The sequence below is a fragment of the Homo sapiens genome, chromosome 3, assembly GCF_000001405.40.
Source record: "Homo sapiens chromosome 3, GRCh38.p14 Primary Assembly".
Lineage (NCBI taxonomy): Eukaryota > Metazoa > Chordata > Mammalia > Primates > Hominidae > Homo > Homo sapiens.
In genome coordinates, this window is record NC_000003.12 from 185,472,053 (window position 1) to 185,482,063 (window position 10,011).

A 10,011-nucleotide genomic window follows, 5' to 3' on the forward strand; every position below is an offset into this window, starting at 1 on the left:
ATGAGATGTCTATTGAGTTGGCTATTGTTTCTGCTGTTAATCATCAGTTCTCTTCAATTAGGGCATGAGTAAGATGAATTTTTTTCCTCACAAATTGATGTGGTTGGTCTGCTCCTGTGGGCTTCGTCTTCAACATCATCTCATCCCTTCTTCTTTTTTTTTTTTTTTTTTTTTTGAGACAGAGTCTCACTCTGTTGCCCAGGCTGGAGTAGTGTAGTGGCACCATCTCGGCTCACTGCAACCTCCGCCTCCCAGGTTCAAGCGATTCTCCTGCCTCAGCCTCCTGAGTAGCTGGGACTACAGGCATGCACCACCACGCCTGGCTAATTTTTGTATTTTTAGTAGAGACGGGGTTTCACCATGTTGGCCAGGATGGTCTCGATCTCTTGACCTCGTGATCCACCCTCCTTGGCCTCCCAAAGTGCTGGGATTACAGGCATTAGCCACCGCACCCGGCCCATCCCTTCTTAAAGAAGTTACCCATTTGTAAACTGCTGATTTCTTTGGGACGTTGTTCCATAAACGTTTCATAAAGCGTCAATGTTTTCACCATTCTTCCACTTAAGCTTCACCACAAATTTGATGTTTGTTCTTTAATCGTAGCAGAATTCATGTTGCTCTGATAGGGGCTCTTTTCAAAGCGATTGTTCTTAGTGCCTCAATCTAGATCGTGCTTAGAGATGTTACCGATAAGTTGGTATGAGTTTATTTCCATGCAAAAAATTTTGAGATCCATGCATAGTTTCTTCATAATATGCATCTTCCATGAACATTTTGAAGACCCCTCATACGTTATCTCTATTGGATAAATCCTGATGACTGCTGATTCAAAGGCTCTGTGTATTTTAAGTCTTAGGATACATTTCCCCAAACTTGAATGTGTTTTCATGTGTTTCAGATTAAACCTGTTCTTTCCTCCCAGGCCAGACTTGTTGAGATCAGAAGGGATCCCCACCACAGAAGTGGCTCCCACTGCATCCCCTTTGTCCGGAAGTCCCAAAATGTCCACTTCTAGCAGCAAGAGCCGATATCGAAGCAAACCACGCCACCGCCGAGGGAATAGCAGAGGCAGCCATAGTGACTTTGCCGCAATCTTGAAAAACCAGCCAGCCCAGGAAAATTCACCCCATCCCACTTACCTGCACCAAGCTCAATCCCAATACCCTTCTCTTCATCACCATAATTCTCTGCAGCAGCAATACCAGCAGCCCCCTCCTGCCATGTCCCAGAGTCACCATCCCAGACTCAATATGCACGGACAGGACATAGCAACCTGCGCCAACAACCTGAGGTATTTCGGCCCAGCAGCAGCCCTGCGGAGCCCACTCAGCAACCATGCTCAGAGACAGCTGCCCGGCTCGAGCCCTGACCTCATCTCCACAGCCATGGCTGCAGACTGCTGGAGAAGTTCTGAGCCTGACAAGGGCCAAGCTGGTCCCTGGGGCTGTTGCCAGGCTGACGCTTATGACCCCTGCCTTCAGTGCAGGCCAGAACAGTATGGGTCCTTAGACATACCCTCTGCTGAGCCAGTGGGGAGGAGCCCTGACCTTTCCAAGTCACCAGCACATAATCCTCTCTTGGAAAACGCCCAGAGTTCTGAGAAAACGGAAGAAAATGAATTCAGCGGCTGTAGGTCTGAGTCATCCCTCGGCACCTCTCATCTCGGCACCCCTCCAGCGCTACCTCGAAAAACAAGGCCTCTGCAGAAGGTAAAGTGTAATGATGAGAGTGGCCTGCGTCACTGCCTTCAAAGAATGCCAGAGCCTGTCATGTTATACACATTAGAGAGCATATGTAAAAAGTATACATTTTGTAAAAGGACAAGATAACAGAAACATAAATAGAAATTTATTTTACTTTAAATTCGTTCTTTCCACACTGTTTAAGTGATAAACTACGGAATACACTTTAGCAACTACTGAACCAGAGGACTGAGTCAAGTGTATGTATAATAACTTATTTATAGATAACTATATACTGGGGATATGGGCTGCACATGGTGGCTCACGCCTATAATCCCAGCAATTTGGGAGGCCAAGGCAGGAGGATCACTTGAGGTCAAGAGTTCGAGACCATCCTGGCCAACATGGTGAAACCCTGTCTCTACTAAAAAAAATACAAAAATTAGCCAGGTGTGGTAGCACACACCTGTAATCCGAGCTACTCAGGAGACTGAGGCATGAGAATTGCTTGAACCTGGGAGGCGGAGGTTGCACTGAGCCGAGATCACACCACTGCACTCCAGCCTGGGTGGCAGAGCGAGACTCTGTCTCAAAAAACAAACAAACAAAAAAACTATATAGTGGGGATATGTAATCAAAATAGTTTGGAAACTACTATGCTACAGCTCTAGTCCTGAGGGATGTTATGGGAAGTAAAGAGCCTGTTATAGAGTAAGTTTAAGAAGCACAGTATTCTCTCATCCCCTCATACAGATTCCTAGGGCACATTAACAGTCCTCTGCTTTGAGAAATCCTGCAGTAAACTTGTTTAACCGAGCATTTCCCTCACCTATTTGAACATACAGCCTTTTTAAATTAACATCTATTAATCCCCTGAGGCACTAGCTTTCTTCACACTTTGGAAAACATTGCCTTAATTGACAGGCATCGTGACCCAGATAGTTCTTAATCATTGAAACCTGTTTCTCTCCTCCTTATCCACTGGCTGCCTGGGATTTGTTACCTGGGAAGCAGACTACCATAGCAGTTAAGAGCATGAGCCTAGGAGTCAGACAGACCTTACTTTAAAGCCAGGCTCTTGGCCAGGCACGGTGGCTCATGCTTGTAATGCCAGCACTTTGGAAGGCCGAGGCAGGTGGATCATGAGGTCAGGAGTTCAAGACCAGCCTGGCCAGCATGGTGAAATCCTATCTCTACCAAAAATACAAAAATTAGCCAGGCGTGGTGGCAGGCACCTGTAATCCCAGCTACTCAGGAGGCTGAGGCAGAGAATAGCTTGAACCTGGGAGGTGGAGGCTGCAGTGAGCCGAGATCCCGCCACTGCACTCCAGACTGGGCGACAGTGTGAGACCCCATCTCAAAAAAAAAAAAAAAAAAAAGCCACGCTCTTCCATTTAGTACCTCTATGGACCTCAGTTTCCTTGTCTATAAAATGGGCCTAATATTGGACTCTGCCTCATCAGTTGCTATAAAGACTACATGCATAAATACATATAAAGCATTTAGAACAGGGCCTGGAACGTAGCACTTTTCCAAAAGTATTAGCTCTTCTTGCTATGAGTCAAAAAATAAGATTATGTATGAAAAATGTTTACAACATGGTAGACACCCACCCAATTCTAAGTATGGTTTCATCTCATCATCATTGTTCACCAGGAATTTAGCTGAAGGAATGAAAGGGTATAAAATGTAATGAGTATGTTTGGTCAACTAGGCATTGAGTAGAAAAGAAGCTGAAGCTGAGGGCTGTCATCTGGGAACTGCATTTCCCCCTCCACCTACATTGCTGCTCCTATACTGACTAAGCAGTCCCAGAGATTAAATTGTGTTTCAGGGGGTGGCCGCGGTGGCTCACACCTGTAATCCCAGCACTTTGGGAGGCCAAGGCGGGTGGAACACCTGAGGTCAGGAGTTCGAGACCAGCCTGGCCAATATGGGAAACCCTGTCTCTACTAAAAATACAAAAATTAGCCGGGCATGGTGGTGCACTCCTGTAATCCCAGGTACTCGGGAGGCTGAGGCAGGAGAATCAGTTGAACCCAGGAGGCAGAGGTTGCAGTGAGCCAAGATTGCACCACTGCACTCCAGCCTGGGCAACAGAGCAAGACTCTGTCTCAATAAATAAATAAATACATAAAATTGTGTTTCAGCTGGTGCAGTTGATTTGGGCCGATCCATTCTCTCCTCTTCCAACTCCGATGGCCAGTAACTTGTATTTTTTGATAACTTCTTTATTAAGATATAATTTGCATACCATACAGTCCTCCCATTTAAAGTGTATAGTTCAATGCTTTTTATCCACAGAGCTGTGTAACTATCACCACGACCAATTTTACAACACTTTTATCACCCCAGAAAGAAACCCCACACCCTTTAGCAGTCACCACATTCCCCAGGCTCCCCCAAATAACATGTATCTTTGAACCTTTCTCATGCCATTGTGATACCATCTACGGGTCTTTAGGCCATAGAACACACACCTTGTACATTTGGCTTCATTGGAACCTCACTCCCACAGAGCAGCTCAACTTTTCTTTACCAAAACATAGTCCCACAGGTCCTCCTAGGGTAAACTGCTCATCTCAGCAGTCAGGATAACTTCATCTCTGTCTTTCCTATTTTAAAAAAAAAAAAAAAAAAAAGCATATCAGAATACAAATGAGTAAGATTCATGATATTTTAGAACTGACTTTTTAAAAGGTAAATTATTCTCAATATTTGGTACAGTTCCTTGGACCCAATTACCCACCTTACAAGCGATTGGGTAATCCAGCGTATCATGATGCTGTGGTTAAGGACAGTTGATCTTAAGTGTGGCTGCTCCTATGCCCTTGGTGTGAGATGAGTTCTCTGTAAAGGAAGATCACCTCAGTCAGGACACTTACCCCGCCTTCCAGATCAACCATGGAGCCCCAGCAATCACGGGGACTCAGGTGTCCCAGCCAGAGCTCCCTTATTGCTGCCAACATGCTGACTCAATAAAAATGCATTAAGCACTTTCTTTTAATTGACAAACAATAATTATATATATTTATAGGGATAACACCAATTTTGTATGCAGTATTGTATTAATGGAGTGAGGCATACAGTACAAACAGGATATAGTCTGACCCTCAAAAATGTCTATCTAACTACATAATATTAGTGAAAAAGGGATTGGTATATAAAAAGGGAAAAAGTAATTGTTCGGCTTTGAGGATTTCAAAGATCAATTCTATAACAGAGCCTGGAACCACTAGTGACAATGATTACAAGAGACTGACCCCAAATCCAAGACCTCCTCTCCAACTTCCCTCTCCATCACTCACCTCTGGACACTTTAATAGAGCCATCACCTCTCTGAGGACAAAGAAAATTTCACTCAGTTCTACACGTCTTCCAGCATCTCATGCAGGCCCGCCATCATAGGTACCCTGGAAAAGTTACTAAATGAATAATGAGGACATGTATGTTTAAAGATGACATTCAGCAAGCTACTACTAAATGAATGACTTTTGATGATAATTACATTTTTTACAGTTAGTGGGGATGGGGTGAGAGAGACAGAGTGACACTAAAATAAATAAAACTCTTAATCCTTGTTCTCCTCAGAGTGGAGATGACTCCTCAGAAGAGGAAGAAGGGGAAGTAGATAGTGAAGTTGAATTTCCACGAAGACAGAGGTAAAACCAACAAATGCACACGATTGCTTTTAGTGGAATGGGGAAAAAAAATCCTAAGTTTGCCACACCTGCTCTTCAACCACAGGTGATTCCCTGGCAGCCACCTTATAGGGAACTTTGAACTCACTGTGTTCATGTTTTCCTGTTGCTACATTTTGGCAGTTGTTCGTGCACAGCAGATCCTAGTTCATTAGCATTCATTTTACAGCAACTTCATGATGAGGAGCATGAATACAGATTCAAGGTTACAACTGAGAATACAGTGGGCAGTTTGTGACAGATGGCCATGCTGTTTTATGGGTAATTGTGTTGGTTTCTAGTGTGCCTCCCTGTGTTGGTCTGCTCAGGCTTCTGTAACAAACTGGATGCTTAAACAACAGAAATTGATTTCTCACAATTCTGGAGCTGGGGAAGTTCAAGATCAAGGTTCTAGCTGACTCAGTTCCTGATGAGGGCTCTCCTACTGGCTTGCAGACAGCCACCTTCTTGCTGTTTCCTCACATGGCAGAGAGAGCTCTTCCTTCTTTTAAAAGGTCACAGTCTTATTGGATTAGGGGTCCACTCTTATGAACTCATTTAATATTAATTACCTCCTAAAGACCCTATCTAGAGGGTCTATCTAGATACAATTATATTGGAGTTTAGAGCTTCAACCGATGGATTTGGGAGGAAGGCAATTCAGTCCATAGCATTCCCCATGCCTTAGATTTTATATCTCAAGTTAAATATGATTAGATAAGTTGAATCCACCTTCAACCCAGCCTTAGAAATAGCTTCTTGCTTAGATAGCGATAATAATATTCCTGCTAGGAGTCAATAAGGGCCATCTCCCCTTACTTCTAGAATAAAAGCTGCCTCTAATGTAGAGAATAAGATAGTTTTCCTACCAAGAGGTCTTTTTCTGCTAATGGACATTCTGTTCTTGAAGAGTAATGCTCTAAGAAGTCTCCCCAGGAAGGTTTGTGTACCTGCCTGGAAACAGGAATTCCCTACAAACCAAAGGACTCCTGGCCCTTTGATAAGTTATATCCTGGATCCCTGCATTATACACAAAATTGAAATCTGTTCTCATTCCCTGCTATTCCTGGACTCTTTATGACCTCTTCTTATATATCCATGATCTGCCCCCCTGACCCCCAACCAACTCACCCCATCACCTGTCCTGGGCATCAGCCAGGCCTAGGTCATATGGCATAAAATCTCTTTGTACTAGGCCGGGTGCTGTGGCTCACACCTCTAAACCCAGCACTTTGGGAGGCTGAATCAGGAGTTCAAGACCATCCTGGCCAACACGGCGAAACCCCGTCTCTACTAAAAATACAAAAATTAGCCAGGCATGGTGGGGCATGCCTGTAGTCCCAGCTACTCAGAAGGCTGAGGCAGGAGAATTGCTTGAACCCAGGAGGCACAGGTTGCAATGAGGCGAGATGGCACCACCGCACTCCAGCCTGGGCGACAGAGTGAGACTCTGTCTCAAAAAAAAAAAAAGAAAAAAACAAAACAAAACAAAACTCTTTAGACTAAGAAATACAGAAAGATCAGACAATGGCAAAAGAAAAAGGAAGTCTTTATTATTTGTTTTCTTATGTTTTTTTAAGCCAGTGTAAGCTAGTAACATCCTTATTTACTAAGCTGCTTATAAACAACGGGAAGGAACTGAGGAACTTTTGCAAATTATCTCCCCAGAAGCGTTGGCTCATCAGAGCCAAACTCAGATGTTAACTGGAATGAGCTACTAACTAGCTGGGCAGTACCCACAGCTGCAGAGTGAATGTTCCTTCCATGCTCATTTCTGTTGAAGGTTGGTCAACAGAGGTAGTGAAAGCACTTGGGCCTCCAGGGCCACCATGCCCAGTGGACACTGGGCTCTGGGAAATGAAGCTGGGGTGGATTGACAGGGAGGTGAGGGATGGAGGTTAGAGAAGGACACTGATCAAAGTGTGTGTAGACCCAGCCCAAGCCTCAGCTCTGCCTTTTCTCATGGTGTGGCCTTAAACAAGTCACTTCCCTTCTCTGGCTCCAGTTTTCTCATCTGGGAAATGAGTTAGTCCAGAGATTCTCCAAAGTCTCTTTCACCTGTGAGAATCTATGACTCTCTAAATAAGAGGCATAATTTCAATTTGGACATTCCATACTATGCATATATGTACATAACGTGATTAGACAAGCTGATGTTTTTCAAAGGCCAGTCATAGCCATCAGCTTGGAGTGTAGTGTTTAGTCACATAAATATATAAACCAAATGAAAGGGGAAATTAAAATTTCCTTCTTGTGTTAGTCACCTTGGGCTGCCATAACAAAATACTACAGATTGGATGGCTTAAACAACAGGAACTTATTTCTCAAGTTCTGGAGCTGGGGAAGTCCAAGATCAAGGTGTCAGCAGATTCAGTTTCTGGTGAGGGCTCTCTTCCTGGCTTGCAGACAGCCACCTTCTCTGTTTCCTCACATGGTCTTTGCCCCGCACATGAATGTTGAAAAAAGGTGGGAGGGAGGAATGGAGAGAATCTCTTCCTCTTTTTATAAGGCTGCCAATCCTATTTGATCAGGACCTCACCCTTATGATCCATTTAACTTTATTTACTTCCTAAAAGCCCTATCTCCGAATACAGTCGCACTGGTATTAGGGCCTCAACATGGAATTTCATGGGGGATAAAATTCAGTCCATTGCCTTAATGTTAAAAGTTAAATAGTTTCTACCTATCTTGATTTCTTAGGCCTCCTTGATGGCAGGGAAAAAACTAGATTATCTCTACCACTACTATGAGTGACAGATAAGGAAAGAAAAGCAGTTGTTCCTCTGACTAAGTTCTCCTGGTTCTTCTTGGTTCTAGGCCCCATCGCTGTATCAGCAGCTGCCAGTCATATTCAACCTTTAGCTCTGAGAATTTCTCTGTGTCTGATGGAGAAGAGGGAAATACCAGTGACCACTCAAACAGTCCTGATGAGTTAGCTGATAAACTTGAAGACCGCTTGGCAGAGAAGCTAGACGACCTGCTGTCCCAGACGCCAGAGATTCCCATTGACATATCCTCACACTCGGATGGGCTCTCTGACAAGGAGTGTGCCGTGCGCCGTGTGAAGACTCAGATGTCTCTGGGCAAGCTGTGTGTGGAGGAACGTGGCTATGAGGTGGGGGCTTCTCCCTTCTCCTCCCATCACTGTTCCCTTTTTTGCTCTTTGGGGTTCAAGTCTCTAGGGCCTTTACAATTTTCATTTAATAATAAGATACAACAGTGGCCTTGTATTAGTCTGTTTTCACACTGCTATAAAGAACTACCTGAGACTGGGTAATTTATGAAGAAAAGAGGTTTAATTGACTCACACTTCCACAAGCTGTACAGGAAGCACGGCTGGGAGACCTCAGGAAACACAATCATGGCAGAAGGTGATGAGGAAGCAAGCATGTCTTCACATGGTGGTAGGAGAGAGAAAGCAAAGGGGAAAGTGCCACCCACTTTGAAACCATCAGATCTCATGAGAACTCACTCACTATCATGAGAATAGCAAGGGGGAAATCCACTCCCATGATCTAGTCACTTCCCACCAGGTGCCTCCCCCAACATTGGGAATTGCAATTCAACATGAGATTTGGGTGGGGACAGAGAGCCAAACCATATCAGGCCTCCAAGAAGTAAGTAGACGTACAGAGATCAACAGAGCTCCCAGAAATGAGGGCAGTTTCTCCCAAATGACACACACACATTGAACTGCTCAGGAACCCTTCATGTCAAGATTTAACTCAAACATCACTTCCTCCCACTCCTATCTCCCAACACGGTTAAAGGTCTGAGCCCAGGTCAGGTGTGGTAGCTCATACCTGCAATCCCAGCACTTTGGGAGGCTGAGGCAGGAGGATCACTTTAGGGTCAGGAGTTCAAGATCAGTCTGAGCAACATAGCAAGACCTTGCCTCTACAACAACAACAACAACAAAATTTAATTAGCTGAGTTTGATGGTACATGCCTGCAGTCCCAGCTACTCGGGAGGCTTGAGGTGGAAGGTTCTCTTAAGCCCAGGAGTTTGAGGCTGCAGTGAGCTATGATCACACCACTGCACTCCAGCCTGAGCAACAGTGAGACCCTGTCTCTGAAAAAAAAAAATTATTTTAAAGGTCTGAGCCTCCCCACTCCATACCCTGACTCTTCCCTGGATGATGCCATCATAGGACATATAGCACTTTATTTCATATTCAGGACTGCCTTTGGAGAGGCAGGCTAGCATAGTGGTTCTAAGTGTAAAGCCTGGAATCTGACTGCCTGAATGCAAATTGTAGCATTCCACTTACTGTGGGACCTGGCAAGCCACTTAACCTCTCTGTAAAATGGGGATGATAATAGCATCTGTCTCATAGTGTTATCATGAGGACTAAATGGATTAACAGATGTATTAATAAAGTACTTACCACCGGGCGCAGTGGCTCATGCCTGTAATCCCAGCACTTTGGGAGGCCGAGGCAGATGGATCACAAGGTCAGGAGATCAAAACCATCCTGGCTAACACAGTGAAACCCTGTCTCTACTAAAAATACAAAAAATTATCCGGGCATGGTGGCACGCGCCTGTAGTCCCAGCCGCTCAGGAGGCTGAGGCAGGAGAATCGCTTGAATCCGGGAGGCGGAGGTTGCAGCGAGCCAAGATCGTGCCACTGCACTCCAGCCTGGGCG

At 44.8% G+C, this 10,011-nt stretch overlaps 1 protein-coding gene and 1 long non-coding RNA gene across 11 annotated transcripts in view, besides 2 other annotated features; one reads left to right on the forward strand and one right to left on the reverse strand.

The window, feature by feature from the left end:
• The window catches only part of MAP3K13 (mitogen-activated protein kinase kinase kinase 13), a 206,134-nt gene that overhangs the window by 189,092 nt on the left and 7,031 nt on the right, over positions 1-10,011 (forward strand). For all 7 annotated transcript variants that reach the window (XM_047449193.1, XM_017007456.2, NM_001242317.2 and 4 more), the window contains 3 exons: positions 923-1,709; positions 5,274-5,344; positions 8,180-8,477. In XM_047449193.1, coding sequence (XP_047305149.1) covers positions 923-1,709; positions 5,274-5,344; positions 8,180-8,477 — 1,156 coding nt within the window. The remainder of the gene's footprint in view (positions 1-922; positions 1,710-5,273; positions 5,345-8,179; positions 8,478-10,011) is intronic.
• Positions 999-2,198: an enhancer, noted in NCBI's record as "CDK7 strongly-dependent group 2 enhancer chr3:185190839-185192038 (GRCh37/hg19 assembly coordinates)". NCBI's record gives its function as "activates an origin of replication core promoter dependent on BRD2, BRD4, P300/CBP, MED14 and CDK7 cofactors, with strong dependence on CDK7, by STARR-seq in HCT116 cells {active_cell/tissue: HCT116}" and the evidence as "EXISTENCE:reporter gene assay evidence [ECO:0000049][PMID:35650434]".
• LOC101929018 (uncharacterized) lies at positions 1,827-9,259 on the reverse strand. Of its 4 annotated transcripts, none has more exons than XR_007096199.1 (4): positions 9,166-9,259; positions 4,991-5,095; positions 4,432-4,532; positions 1,827-4,297 (listed from the first exon to the last, which is right to left on the reverse strand). It is a non-coding gene; the product is annotated as an uncharacterized LOC101929018 (long non-coding RNA). The 4 variants fall into 4 exon arrangements; XR_007096198.1 differs by having other exon boundaries at positions 4,991-8,450; positions 8,671-9,259; XR_007096200.1 differs by lacking the exon at positions 9,166-9,259 and adding an exon at positions 8,671-8,709.
• Positions 7,976-9,175: an enhancer, noted in NCBI's record as "BRD4-independent group 4 enhancer chr3:185197816-185199015 (GRCh37/hg19 assembly coordinates)". NCBI's record gives its function as "activates an origin of replication core promoter dependent on BRD2, P300/CBP, MED14 and CDK7 cofactors, and independent of BRD4, by STARR-seq in HCT116 cells {active_cell/tissue: HCT116}" and the evidence as "EXISTENCE:reporter gene assay evidence [ECO:0000049][PMID:35650434]".